The sequence below is a fragment of the Homo sapiens genome, chromosome 1 (assembly GCF_000001405.40).
Source record: "Homo sapiens chromosome 1, GRCh38.p14 Primary Assembly".
In the NCBI taxonomy this organism is placed as follows: domain Eukaryota; kingdom Metazoa; phylum Chordata; class Mammalia; order Primates; family Hominidae; genus Homo; species Homo sapiens.
In genome coordinates, this window is record NC_000001.11 from 234,563,945 (window position 1) to 234,579,690 (window position 15,746).

General features: G+C 42.5%; 1 long non-coding RNA gene across 1 annotated transcript; it reads right to left on the bottom strand.

The window, feature by feature from the left end:
* Positions 1-648: 648 nt before the first annotated feature.
* Positions 649-6,397, bottom strand: LOC107985465 (uncharacterized). The gene is made up of 3 exons (XR_001737831.2): positions 6,317-6,397; positions 6,139-6,198; positions 649-2,383 (listed from the first exon to the last, which is right to left on the bottom strand). It is a non-coding gene; the product is annotated as an uncharacterized LOC107985465 (long non-coding RNA).
* Between the last annotated feature and the right edge of the window lie 9,349 nt (positions 6,398-15,746).

Sequence of the window (15,746 nt, forward strand, 5' to 3'; positions counted from 1 at the left end):
GAATAATACCTGATTAGTTTCTTATAACAAATTTCTAAAGTAAAATTGTATTAAAGGAGATATATACACATACATGCATATATAATTTTTTGATAGATAAAACTAAATTGCCTCCAGAAAATTTATACTAATTTATACTTTCATTAGTTCAAGTTTTTGAAAACATGATTTAGAGGCAAATACAATTATCTCTGTTTTATCATTTGGGACAATTAAGGCAGAAACCAGTATCGTGGTGAGGGTTACACAGCAAGTCAATAGGAAAGATTACTTTGATAGAGATAAGAGATATCTTCTTACATGTACTTTACATATATTCTCATTTACAACAAACCTAAAAAGGAGTTATTTTTTAATCCCCATTTCCAGATAAGGAAAGGGGGCTCGAAAATCTCGAAGCCCTGACATTTCTATTCATTCATTATCCAGGCTGTCTCTATGACCACAGACAGCCTGACAATCCAGCTGCAATGTAGTCATAGAATCCTAGTGTGTAACTCATAGAATCCTAGTGTGTAACCCAGTACTACCAACACCAGATAAATCAATCCTTGCAGAAACAAATATTTAATTTTTAAATAAGCCAACAATCTGAACATTCACTGTTTTGATAAATGCAACCTAAAAGATCTCGTCCCCTGGATTTATTTTTCAGGTAAAAATAGCTCCATGGTTATGCCTTCTTAGGGGCTTGGTGGGAGGGAAGGGATGGGGTTGAAGAAGAGAAAAACAACTTCCTTGGAGGATTAGGCAAGGTGTAAGAGCATGTCTTCCAGGTCTAGATTGGCAGACCTCACGCTTTGACTCAGAAGTAGAGAATCTGCTTTGGTTTCCTGACTGGGTTGCCTTGTTTTTCAGCCACAGGGCAAGAAACATGCCACAGCAATGAAATAAAGGTGACATGTCATAATGAGGGAAAGGGAGTTATTCCACAGGCTGAGTCACCGCTCTCCTGCAGGTACAGAATGATACAGCCTACAGAAATTCAGAGCAGACTGTCAGACTGTGGGATTGAGTAACAAAGAGAAACAGGTCTACAGATGACCTAGCATACGCTTATTATTTTGAAATTTCTGAATTGTAAAAAATGAGAATGGTGAAGTCTTAGGTAGATCTAAGTTCATTCTTGCAACAAAAATCAGTTCCAAGTTTGCCTGGAAGTGAGGCATCTAATTCATAAAATAGTGGCTATAGTGACAGTTATATATTTGAGGGAAACTTATCTATAACTTCCAACTAACATACATCTTGGTGGAGTCTGAGTTCTACATTTTTCTGCTTTCTTCCTCATCAATTGTCATGGTTGACATTTGTTCTTTGAAAAGACTGAGTGCCAACCATGAGCTGGACAGCCCACTAGGCAAGTGCAATGACAAAAGAAACAAGCGTTAATCCTGTCTAGCCAGAGCACTAAGGAACCTGCTTATTCTGCGAATGCCTCAGCAAGGTCCTAAAGGAGAGCTTCCACTGCCTCCTAGGTGGGTGCCCCTGCTGGCAAGTTAATCATTCTAGGCCTCAGTTTCCTATTCTATAAAATGGGTGATAATAGTAACTATAAAGTAAGAAATAAAGAAGAGGTCACTGGACACTTGGCCTCTGGCAAGGATCTAGAAATGTCAGCAGCATAATCCTGCTTAACTCACCTCCACTACTGTTTTACCTGCTGCTCTCCAATGCTCACCTGCTCTAATTCACACTGTAGTAGGAAGTACTTTAGGTCAGGCATCAGGGGGCATTGCTTTAGTTCAGACTCCAGCATTTACTATGTACCTGTTGTATGATCTTAATACTAACAGCAATATAGTGATAGAAGCAGCTAATAGCCAACCGTTATAATCATTACTTTGTGCTTGGCATTTTATATAAATTTAATCCTCATGGTAATTTACTGACATAGGGAACATTGGTCTCTCTTTTTATAGGTGAAATAAGTGAGGCTTAAAGAGATCTTGTAATTTGGTCCCACAGCTTAAGTGTGAGGCTGGAATTCACCCAGGAAAGCTGTTTCCAGGTTCTGTGGTCCTAACAATTACTCTGCCTTAATTTTCCCCTGCTGATATTTCTGCCCATAAGCCTCTTATTATTTGATTAATGGTAGTAAAGAATATTTTTAAAAACTATTGCTCTTCAGCATCCTTTTTGAGGGAGAACTTTCCTTCCCCTATTCCATGGGTTTGTTTTGGGGCTGTGGCTTACAGGAACCCTCTCCAGAATCATCCGATGTCCCAATCATACGTGGAGAATGGCCAGAATCCTTCCCTTTGTACTGATGTACACACAACACGAGAAGGAATTTTTCTACTGGAGTTGCTTAGCTGGAGAGGCCAGGAGCCATATTTCTGTTGTGTGGGCAAAGCCTTTCTGCAGTAGAGGAGAATGAGCTCTATAAATAAAGAGAAACATAAAATCATAAAATACAGATAGAGATGAGATATGGTCACTTAGAATTCCTAGTTCTAGTCCAGAGGCCCTGGTTCTATTAGTTACTGCTTCAATTCTGACCAACCCAGTATTTCCAACTATATAAGCCATTAGAGTCTTGTGCTTGCATAAGTGAGTTTATTTTATTTTATTTTATTTTATTTTATTTTATTTTATTTTATTTTATTTTATTTTATTTATCTTGATGGAGTCTCGCTCTGCTGCCCAGGCTGGAGTGCAGTGGTACGAGCTTGGCTCACTGCAAACTCCGCCCCAGGGTTCAAGCAATTCTTGTCCCTCAGCCCCCTGAATAGTTGAGACTACAGGTGTGCACCACCACATCCAGCTAATTTTTGTATTTTTAGTAGAGATGGGGTTTTGCCATGTTAGCCAGGCTGGTCTCGAACTCCTGACCTCAAGTGATCTACCCACCTCTGCCTCCCAAAGTGCTGGGAATACAGGCGTGAGCCACCACGCCAAGCCTAAATTGTGTTTTTCTTAATTGCAATCAAAGAAGCCTAATCAATAGAACAGAGAAGGGGCCTGGGAGTTAGCTATAGACAACAGGTGTACAAATGTGAAGTTACCTATTAGTGAATTAAAGGAGTATTAACGGAGACAATACTTTGAAAAATCAAGTTAATAAGAAATCATGTACCATGGTTTGAATATGTCCCCCAAAGTTTATGTGTTGGAAACTGAGTCCCCAGAGCAATAGTGTTGAGAGATTAGACCTTAAGGAGGTGATCAGGTTGTGAGGGCTTTGCCTTCATGAATGAATTAATGCTGTTATTGCTGGAGTGGGTTCACTTTGGAGGGACCGGGTTCCTGATAAAAGGATGAGTTCAGATTCCTTTCCTTCTTTCTCTCTCTCTCATGCACACGCTCTGCCTTTTTGCCTTCAACCAGGGGATGACACAGCAAGAAGGACCCCACCAGATGCAGCCCTTCAGTCTTGGACTTCCCAACCCCCAGAACCATGAGTCAAATCATCTAGTCTCAGTTATTCTGTTATAGCAGCACAAAATGAACTTAGACATCATATTAGACCCAGACGACACTTTAAAAAAAATTTGGTATGGCCGGGCATGTTGGCTCATGCCTGTAATCCCAGCACTTTGGGAGGCAGAGGCAGGTAGATCACCTGAGGTCAGGAGTTCCAGACCAGGCTGACCAACATGGAAAAATCCTGTCTCTACTAAAAATACAAAAAATTAGCCAGGCATGGTGGCACATGCCTGTAATCCCAGCTACTCGGGAGGCTGAGGCAGGAGAATCGCTTGAACCCAGGAGGCGGAGGTTGCGGTGAACCGAGATCATGCCATTGCACTCCAGCCTGGGCAACAAGAGTGAAACTCCATCTCAAAAAAAAAAAAAAAAAAAAATTGGTCCAAAATCTTCATTTCATAGATGTGAAAATTGATTTGCAAATATACAGGGTAACTGGCTTGATGTTAGGCAACTAGCTAGGAATAAGCCTGGGATCTAGCTGAATTCAGGTAGCCTCAAATCTTTTCCAATGCTTTTTTCACCACCAACTCCATCTACCCAGATAGGGAAGTAGATGGTCAGATAATACAGAGATAAATGAATGTATAGAAAAATGAATAGATAAATGGACAGATAAATGGATAGATGAATGAGAGGTTGATTGACTGGTAGATAGAGACAGGTTTAATAAAGCAGGAGATTTAATTGTACAATAAAAGCCATCAGCAAATTGAGATTATGCTAGGAAACAGAATAGTTGAGAAAACCCTGAACTAAAAGAAAAATCTAGGTTCTTATTCTGACTCTATGCTAATTCGCTGCGTTACCTTGGACAAGTCCCTGAGCCTCAATTAGACATATAAACGGGGATCATATATGAGAGTAACTTTGTTAACTATGATAATTTCATGAATATGAGATGATCACATCTATTTATGAAACTATACTGCATTTGTGTACTCATATTTAGAGGGCAAGTTCCATGAGGGCAGAAATTACACTTATCCATTGTTATTTACCAGTACCAGATGCTCAATAGGCATTTTTAAGGCAAATGAACAAATTGATAGCATGGTTATTACTTAACTGCTCCTCTTCACCACTATGACCCAGCTTGGCTCATGGACTCATGCAATCAATATGGAAGCTGAGTTAAAATAAAAACGACACATGCCAAGAGGGTCAGAGGAGTAAGAAAATGACATCATTACCCCCTTGGCCTGAAGGGTTTCATCCTAATCAACTCTGAGGACTGACCTAGTCTTCTTAACCTCCTATAATCTCTAACCCAATTCTGTTTGTTTTTTTCTTTCTCCCAACACATTCATATTTCCTATCATTTAGGAAATGTCCTTTATGTTAAAAATACATATACATATGGAGGAAAAGATATTAGATCCCTACTTCATACTCCCTAGACATCAATACTAATTAGATTTCAGACTTAAATCTCAGAAGGAAACCTCTCAAACTTTTTGACCACGGAACAGAAGAAAGACTTTTTTTTTTTTTTGAGATGGAGTCCTGCTCTGTCACCAGGCTGGAGTGCAGTGGCACGATCTTGGCTCACTGCAACCTCTGTCTTCTAGGTTCAAGCGATTCTCTTGCCTCAGCCTCCCAAGTAGCTGGGACTACAGGTGCATGCCACCACGCCCAGCTAAAATTTTTGTATTTTTAGTAGAGATGGGGTTTCACCACATTGGCCAGGATAGTCTCGATCTTTTGACCTTGTGATCTGCCCACCTCGACCTCCCAAAGTGTTGGGATTACAGGCGTGAGCCACTGCGCCGGGCCAACAGACAATTTTTTTTAACTAGACCAGAAAAAAAAGTATGACTCATAAAAGAAAGATTGATAAATTAAAATCCATTAAAGGTTAACATTTATGCTCATAAGATGACTCCACTCTCCAATTCCAATTTAATTAGGAAGTTAAACCTGTGTGTGAGTGTGTGTCACACTTGGGTATCACCACCCCACAGGTGAGATGTCTGCCATAACCCAAATGGCAATAATTCAGGATGACAGACACCTGGCAGGAGCTTCATGTTCCCAAGAGGGCTTTATCTAGATAATCTGGGGACTGGGGGATGGAGTGTGGGTGAACCTGTGGACCTCTTTTGCTACCTATGGAAATAGAATTTAATTCACATAACCAAACAGGTGTGTCATGAATACCTTGACAGAATGGATGATATCTTATATTTCCCTCGATCTTAAAGGCCTCAAACTGGGTCTGGCATGAAACAGGCCTTTTATCCATGAAGGGACAAAACATAGTATAATCCTCACTCAGACAGGAAAGCTACTATGGAGAACGTCTTCACCCCAGTTTTCCCATAGCCTTCTTGTTCATTACTGTGGCTTTCCACTCCAGCCTCTGTTGGTTACGAGCCTCACATCCAGAAAAGCAAAAGCAATCGGCAGAACAATCCTAATAATAACAACATTGGTCTTGTGTCTTACAGTTTGCAAATGATTTCCAAATATAATTTCTCATCGGAATCTCACAACCACCAAATACGACCAGGCATTATTCATCTGATTTTACAGATGAGGAAATCAAGGGTCAGAGAAGTGATGTGACTTGCCCAAGGCCCACAGATGGTAGGTGGCAAAGCCAGGACTTGGAATCCAAGATAAAGAAAACTCAGTGGGAAGGAGAAGTTTGTGATTAAATCCAATTAAAGGAATAGAGTAAAATAAAGAACACAGTAAATTTCTCACCAGGAATGTGTTCCGTTTTCCTCTTGGCTTTTGAAAATGAGGCTGCTTCTGCTATATTATCTGGTGGAAAACACATCATCAAAGTCAATGGGACATCAGCCCTTCTCTTGGGTATTTGTTGAGGCTCCTCTGCACGAACACACACCTTTTGCTTCTGTGTTTGCCCCAATTTTCCTACCTTTCCGACCTCTTGGATTAGGACTCTGGCTTCCAGTATTTGCCTAAGGCCCTTCTCCGAGTTAGGCAACCTATTTCATTATAATTTTGAACAATAGAGATAATGATACTAGCAGCCACCCTCAATGGGGCCCTACTTATTATGGGCTAGCAGTAAGCACTTTGCATGCATTATCTCATTTAGTCTCACAACAATTCTATGAGGTAAGAACTATTTTTGTCCATGTTTCACAAAGGAAGAAACTGAGGGACAAAGAGATGAAGTAATTTGCCCAAGGTCACATTGCTAGTAAGTGGCAGACCGAAGACCAAGCTGCCTGGCTGCAGGCCCTCACCCCTGCCACCACCCTCAGCTACCTTTCCCTAGGCTGTCCAGCTCAGATTCCCTGGCCTTGTCACCCCACGACCCCCAACTGCTGGCTTTGCACAGTCCTTCAGCTTTCAGAAGTGCAGCGCTCTAGGTAATAACATTCCCTCTGCTGGCCTCTTTCCCAAGATTCTCAAAAGAGACAAAGCCCATCCCCAGAAAGTAGATGACGTACTTGGATGCCACAGTGCCCTCAGATCTCTCCAAAGAACTGGGGCCCTCATTCTCTCCGCTGCAAAGGAGAGTTGGCTGCTGAGTGTTCACAGCTGAGACCCTCTCTAGGACTTGCCCTTGGCTAATGGGAGCCACCTGGCTGGGGTTATTCCCCCTTCCTGGGAGGACCCCACCTTCAGTAATTGGTCAATGCAGGATACAAAGGCCCTGCCTTCTAGCCCTAATTGGGGCCAACTGGGAAGGGCCATGCTCAATCCAGAGCTCCCCAGGGATTGGGCGAGGCCTCTGTTGCACCTGTTTCATGGTTCAACCTCTCTTTTTCCCCAATTCTGCATCCTTCACCCCTGGCAGATGTTGACCCCAAAGCACTCTCCAGTAAACATCTTGGCTTGCACACTGCAGCCTCAGACTCCGATTTCCAGGGATTCAGCAAAACACAGAAGTGTGTCCAGTATCTCTGAGCATGGCCTCCTCCTCCTGACTGGCAGAGTGAGGCCTCATGTAGGATGTGGTATTAAACCTTTCCCAGGATTTGGTTTTCCTGCCCACCTGGTTTTTGACACTGCCATATGTGTATTCTTTTTTTTTTCCTTTTCAGTCCACTAGAATGTTCTGGAGTTCATTACCATGTTATGGGATTCACCTATACCTTCAGCCAACAACAGGGCTGTATTTCTAGTCCAAGCCTTCACTTGACCATCCTACTACCCCAGCAATGCCTATGAGTGACCTAACCTGGGACCCAAGACCTGCTGACCACGTTATTTACATGGGCCAGGCATAATGGGCAAAAGACATGCTTGAAATGTACGCATGCGAAACACACAAGCAGACACAGGCAGGAATAGGAGCATCATTCGGTCTTGACAGGGTATATCTCTACAAGTAAACCCAGGAGGCCTTGGCTCACTGTCCTGTTTTTTTCCTCTCAGCTCAGACCCTCATTTCTTCCATGCAAAGATGCTGTAATAACTTCTGACAGGCCTCTTTATCTCCTACCTCTTTGACTTTAATCTGTCATACACATTGCTGCCAGATTTATCTTCCTAAATGAAGCTCTTATCATATCCTCTCCCTGCTTAAAAACTGCATGCTCCCCACTGCCTACCAAATGAAATGCACATGTCTCAGCCTCGCCTCCCAAGCCCTATCCAATGTGGCTGAGATCAAAGTGGGCTGCTTCTTGGCCCTCTGTGTTTTCTGGCCTCTGGGACCATGCTCATTCACTTCTCTTCAAACACTTTTGCCAGGAAATGTTGCTTGATCCGTACAAATAGCTGTAAACAGTGTTTGGACTGTATTTGTTTAATAACTTCACCTTAGTCTCCCTTAAATGACAATTATCTGTGAGCTTGGTTTGCCTTCCCTCCTAGATTATGAGCAGCTGGGTAGAAGTCACACCCCTGACCCCAGCACCGCAACAGCATCAAATACGTAGTGGGCTCTCCAGAAAGACTTGTGGAAGTGATTTATCATCTCCCAGTTAGACCACAGATTTATTCTCTTTCCCTTCTCCCTGCCTTCCCACCAATCTTTATATTCCTGAAATAAATATATATTGATGTTATAGAAAGTAGTTATTTAATCATAATATATATAAAGCAACAGACAGTATATTGAGACCCAACCCTAAAACGTGCTTTGGAGAGGGAGAATTTATAACCTAAGGTAGACTGCAAATGAAGTCACTGCCTTAACCCATTAAGAAGGAAAATTATGATTTTGAAATAATGACATTTAAACAATGGACTAAATCCAGGGTAGAGAGAGGACTTTTAAAAATACAGTGTAAGCTGGCCGGGCGCGGCGGCTCACGCCTGTAATCCCAGCACTTTGGGAGGCTGTGGCGGGCAGATCACGAGGTCAGCAGTTGAAGACCAGCCCGGCCAACATGGCCAACCCCCGTCTCTACTAAAAATACAGGCCAGGTGTGGTGGTGCATGCCTGTAGTCCCAGCTACTCGGGAGGCTGAGGCAGGAGAATCACTTGAACCCGGAAGGTGGAGGTTGCAGTGAGCTGGGCTCATGCCTCTGCACTCCAGCCTGAGCAACACCTGAGCAACAGAGTGAGACTCTGTCTAAAAAAAAAACAACAAACAAACAAACAAACAAAAAACTGGTGTAGTCTATCTAGAAATCAAAGATCAGCAATATAAAAAACTTCTAGAGAAAAAGGTGGTGAGTTTACTGGAAGAATTCAGGGTTAGTGCATTACCTGATACTCTTTCATAGACAACTGGACAAATGGCCACTACTGGCTGGTGGGCTCACCTCTGCGGATTCTGACATCTCTGCCAGGCAGCTCAGGTTGCCGCCCTGCCTCTGCCCCAGGGCCCAGAGTCCCAGACCTGCAGACAATGATATCATTATACCACCGCCTAGGCTGCAGAAACAACTGCCTCCTATTCAACCACACTTTCCCCTTATTTTCTTGGAGTCTTGTCCCTGACAAACGGCTGGAGGCTTCTGGTAGGAAGCAAAACTCAGCAGCTTCAGAGATCATGAAAAAAGCATCGTGATTCAAAGAGATTCTTAATGAACGCAGCGGGGACTCTGAGTTGCATTTCAACCTATTTCTCCTCCTCTGGGCTTTTGCCCCTCTGTTCTGTATCATGAGACTTCTCTCCAGATATGCAGCCCTGTTTTAGGATGGGCTGTCAAATTTGGAATTGGCCCTGGTGATGAGAAAGGAGGGATCCCTCTCCTTCTATTTTCTGTAACAAATGGATGTCAAAACTGACATAGGCTCAATGTTTAAAAGTCAAGTCATTTAAGATGGGTAAAGTACTGAGAAACACTCAGAATAGATTCAAAGTCAACAAGAGAAAAAAATCTGGATAATGATATTTGTAAGAAGGATTTGTGAACTGCAGAAAAAATAATCCCAATAAATATTTGTCCATAGTAACACTTGTTTATTTTCTGTAGTGTTGCCTTCAGGGCAAGGGAGGCCATGAGCCAGTTCTCACACTTTAAATAGCCCCTAGACATCACACAGGCATACACACATACACTTACTAAAGTGCACACAGACACCCCATCACTTGAGCCCCAGCGTTCAGTGCAGCCACAGCAAGCTGCAATCTCAACATCCACTCTTTTGGGCAATGCTGCTCAGGCCCCAGGGACGTTTCCTCACACTGCCTGTCCTTGCATCTTGCCTTTGCAATAAAAGGCAACTGTATCCAAGTACTGAGGTGTCTGTGCAACCTGCTGTTGACTTCAGAAATGCACACCACTTCAGAGTGTGGAGAGGATGTGAGCATCAGAAGTGCTGATAAGAGAAGACAAACTCACTACCTTGTGAGATTCTTCCTATCATACAGCAAGGATGTGACAGATTCTTGCATAATAAAGAACTATTTCCCAACAGAGCCAAGAGTTCATTTTCTCACTTCTCTTCCCATTCCAATTCAGGATTCCAGAGGTACTAAAATATTGCACACAGTAGATGCAACAGTTCACACACACTGTGGCTAACATTTTGTAATAGTACATAACTCCTATTTCTCTTACCTTTATATATAAATATAGTTGTAGATGTAATATGTGTGAAGTACAAAACCAGTTCTTTACATTAGCAACTAAATGGTCTTTGCTAGAATTACAAATCGTTTTCTTTTCATAAAAATATGCAATAAAATGTAATTAAATCATTTAAAGATTAAAAACTCTTCAGATCTGTTTAAATAATTTTATTTTAATTTTTGATACTTATTAATTTGCATTTTGGTTATAATGGATAATTTTGAATATTTGAGAGGAAAAAGAACATTTTGAAACATCCAAAATAATTAAATCTTTAGTTTTTTATATTAACATTGATTTACATATTGATGAAAATGCACTCAAATTGTGTATATTTTAATATAATTACATTTATTTTCAATCTGTTAAATTATTGCTATCAATGGAACACAGATTGTGTGAAAATTTTGATTATAAGAATATAATCCATGATTTTTCTGAAAGGAAGGCAAGAAAATAAATTGTATTAATAAATATATGAGATTTAATGAATTTATATGTGTTTATTCTTATTACTCATCCAGACATTGCTAGCTGAATAACATCCCAGACAGGCTCACAAATGATCAGACTCTTTTCTCCTTGAGATTTTGCTAATTCTTGTCATATTTTACATCCATTATATCACAGCTTTACACATATTTTGTACCTTTTGTGATAAAAGAATATTTGTCAAGATGGAAGGATGGAACATACTTAGCAGTTTATTTTCTTTGTTTATTTTTTAATATCTACACACATAGCATCTGTGCCCCAGGCCCCCACATATAAAGGCGGGAGCAGCTTCCCTGACCACTGTGAATGGTGGCACCATGGTGTTTTCCTCCTTTTTGTTTTTTTAGTTTTTGAGATGGAATCTTGCTTCATCACCCAGGCTGGAGTGCAGTGGCATGACCTTGGCTCCCTGCAATCTCTGCCTCCCAGGTTCAAGCAATTCTCCTGCCTCAGCCTCCCAAGTAGCTGGGATTACAGGCACCTGCCACCATGCCTGGCTATATTTTTTTGTATTTTTAGTAAAGATGGGTTTTCACCATGTTGGCCAGGCTGGTCTTGAACTCCTGACCTCAAGTGATCCAGCTGCCTTGGCCTCCCAAAGTGCTGGGATTACAGGTGTGAGCCACTGCACCTGGCCACACCATGATCCATGGTGTTTTCTTTTCTTTTTTTTTTTTTTTTTTGAGATGGAGTCTCGCTCTGTCACCAGGCTGGAGTGCAGTGGTATGATCTTGGCTCACCGCAGCCTCTGCCTCCCAGGTTCAAGCAATTCTTCTGCCTCAGGCTCCTGAGTAGCTGGGATTACAGGCACATGCCACCACGCCCAGCTAATTTTTGTATTTTTCGTAGAGACGGGGTTTCACCATGTTGGCCAGGATGGTCTCAATCTCTTGACTTCATGATCCACCGGCCTCGGCCTCCCAAAGTGCTGGGATTACAGGCATGAGCCACCACGCCTGCCCACCATGGTGTTTTCTAACTTTTTTTTTTTTTTTCTGAGACGGAGTTGCTTAGCCGCCCAGGCTAGAGTGCAGTGGTGGGATCTCGGCTCACGGCAACCACCATCTCCCAGGTTCAAGCGATTCTCCCATCTCAGCCTCCCAAGTAGCTATGATTACAGGCACCTGCCATCATGCCAGGCTAATTTTTGTATTTCAGTAAAGACAGAGTTTCGCCATGTTGGCCAGGCTGGTCTTGAACTCCTGACCTCAGGTGATCCGCCCGCCTTGGCCTCCCAAAGTGCTGGGATTACAGGCATGAGCCACCGTGCCCGGCTGTGTTTTCTAACTTTTATTGAGAGCTCACACTGGGACAGGCATTGTCCCAAGTGCTTTTGTGTATTTCATTCACCCTTGCTACACCCTTCGAGGTAGGTACTGCTACCCAGTTTCCATAAGGAGGCTGGCACACAGGGAGAAGTCATGGGTCAACTGGTTGCCAAGTGTGGTGGGTGGTCACTCCCCTGGCCTCTTGAACCTCAAATCCCTCTGCAGCCTGGGCCCTGGCCACTTCATCCTCTCTCCTTAGCAGAGGCTGAGGAGCCTCAACTTTGTCTATTCCCTGTTTGTTTCATAGAGACCATTTTGTTGAATGCTTTTATTATGTTGCCTGTTACACATCTGTTTTAAAAATCTGGATCAATATATCTGTTTTGGATTTCAAGCTGGTTAGGATAATCTAAATCTCTATATGCATGTATAAACAGGCACCTCCAAAATTACATTTTTTGCACAATTATATTTGTAAAACCTTCAAAACAACTTAAAGACCTAATACACAACTGCATTAGTGACTCAGTTAATAAACTTTGAGACAGCCATTGAATGGACAATCACGAAGGAAGTGAAAATGATGGTTATGAAGGTATCGTAAATACTTATGACAGATGGGAAATACTTCTGACAGATACAATGTTAAATTTTAAAAGTACCATATAAAATTACACATATCACATGTCATGATTATGTAAAAATTAGTATACACATGAAAAAACACACAGAAAAAAAGACGAAGAAAATATAGCTAAATGTTCTTAGAAGCTGTGTTTAACATAGTAAATATTAATGTATTGGAATGACTTTTTTCCCTTTTTGTTTTAGTTTTTTTTCTATTTTTAAAATGGTTTCGGATTAGATTAATTTCTTTTTATTTCTTTTTTTTTCTTTTTTTAGAAACAGGGTCAGGGTCTCACTCTGTTGTCCAGGCTGGAGTGCAGTGGTGCAATCACAGCTCACTGTAACCCTGAACAAGCTCAAGCAATCCTCCCGCCTCAGCCTCCTGAATAGCTAGGACTATGCATGCACCACTATGCCCAGCCAGGTTCATTTTATAATAAAAATATACGATTTATTTAGAATGCATTTTTTTCTGAAAACAATAATGATGAATTTTAGCACAAGTTCACATAATTTGCGAACAGGCATACCACCTAATTGTTTATATAACACACCTATTCCCCCACTACCTTCCTGGGTCTGTGCAGTCTTTAAGAGGAAAGCAGCCAGGTGCGGTGGTTCATGCCTGTAATCCCAGCACTTTGGGAGGCCGAGGTGGGCAGATCACGAGGTGAGGAGCTCGAGACCAGTCTGACCAACATGGTGAAACCCCGTCTCTACTAAAAATACAAAAATTAGCCAGGCGTGGTGGCACACGCCTTTAATCCCAGCCACTTAGGAGGCTGAGGCAGGAGAATCGCTTGAACCCAGGAGGTTGCAGTGAGTGAAGATCATGCCACTGCACTCCAGGCTGGGCGACAGAGCGAGATTCCATCTCAAAAAAAAAAAAAGAAAAAAAAAAGAAAAGCTACCATGGCAGAGGAGAGTCTCCATTGCTGGCTGTTGGCAAGATGCATTTTGTAGATCAAGCATTTTAGCCTTGTCTTATACATTAGGAGGAGCAGAGATGTAAATATCTGAGAGTCTTTAGGCTTTCATACAAATTCTGCAAACGGAAAAGTCTTACCACTTCCTAAAGAAAGTGTTGTTCCTCAAATGTTCCCTGGACCTGGAGCCACTTGGTCAGTGAGCTCGAGATAAAAGCAGCCTATGATTTGAATGTGTCCTTTCTTCAGTGACCAGTGCCTGTGAGTACGCCACAGCTCCCCCATCTTTGAGAGAACGCTGGCATCCTCACAGGGACATGCCAATTCGGAAGCAAGCCTTGAGGGCCACAGACACATCTACAAATATGCTGGGAAGACATTATCTTTTAAGAAGCTTCCACTAGCCTTACTGCACCTCTGCCTCACCTGTGCCTGTCTTGGTTTTTAATAGGTGGTAAATGTCAAGAACAGAAAAGATTTACTCAATGGAAAACTTATACCTTCTCTCTCTCTTTTCACCTCTCTTTCTTTTCTTCCTTTCTCCCTTCCTTCCAAACACCCCCACCCCAACACACACACACACACACACGGTACAGTGCCAGGTACAGTGCCAAGCACTGAGCAAATAGGGTCAAATCAGATCTGACACAGGCTTCCCAGGAGCTAGAGATCTATACCTTCCCACTGAAAGGGTAGTGCTCAGACCAGCAGCACCAGCGTGGCCCAGAAGCTTGTTGAAAACACAGACTCTCAGGCCCCACCCTGGACCTGCTGACTTGGAATCTGGATTTCCACAGGCTCCTAAAAGTTTGAGATGCACTGGCCTATAGGACTCTACAAGGGCAAGCCTAATTTCTTCTGAGTGCAGTTATGATAAGACCTTGGGCTGGCATTATTATTTGGCTTGCATGAACAATTTTAGCTTATATTTTACAAATATCACCTGGAATTGTAGGTGACTCTTACAGGAATCACAGGCTAGGTCACAAGGACAGTGATTGCCTGTGGGTTTGGAAAGTCCTCCATCCGGACCCCTCATCTGTGGGTATCTGTGGAGCGGGACAACAGGGACAGGGACGGAGATCAGGGGAAAGAGGAAAGGGATATTAGCTTCTGTGGAGGAACAGACAGAAAAGAGGAGGAGTGTGGGATGAATGCATCCATATGATAGTGATGTACCTGGACCTGAGAAAACAACGGTGGCAGAAATGCCCTCCTGGTGGCTGCGTCTGAGGAATACACCTTCCTCTCTGGCTCAAAAACCCAATGGCTCCCTGTGCTGTGCCTCCTGAACCCGTATAATGTGCCGCTCAGCACAAAGAGTCCTTCCAGGGCCCAGGAGCACGTGGGCAGGGGGACTGTGAGGGGGCAGGGACACGAGTGACTTCCACCTCTCTCTCCCAATGCTGCAGAACGAAGCGTTCTTGGGAGTTGCATACAACTTTTTTCTTTTTAGAAGAAATAAGTCTTATTTTTGCTAGGGTAAGCCTTCTTCTACCTAGATCAATTAAATTGGAAACAATGCACATTTCAGAAAGGATGCTTCAGGAATAAAAAAGATTTTAGAGTTAGGCTAGACACCTCCTGGGGGTTGTCCCAGACCTTACTGGCATCAAGTAGTGGAAAGGTGTTTCCAAATCAGGAGTTAGAGGCTAAGACCTACAGCCTCCCCCGAGTCTCCAGAATCTCCAGACACAGCCTTAAGCAGATCTCGTCATCACACAGGTCCTGTAGAGAGTACCTGTGATCTTTCCTTCCTTTCAGCCATCTGACTTTCTGCTGCATTGGGCAGAAACCAACTCTTGACGCTAGACGTTATCAGGAGGGAGAGGCATAGATGAAGATTTATATGTCTTCCTTCCATAGTAATTCACATGTACCAACAACATAAAGGCTTTTTTTTTTGCATGTGCAGATACAGTTCCAGTATAATTATTCTAGATGGAAATAAAACTAGTAAGTTTCTTTTCTCCTATGGTCTATGAAGAAACAATTTATAAGGTACCAATATCTCATATCTCTTTTTGTTGTTGTTTAGAGACAGGGT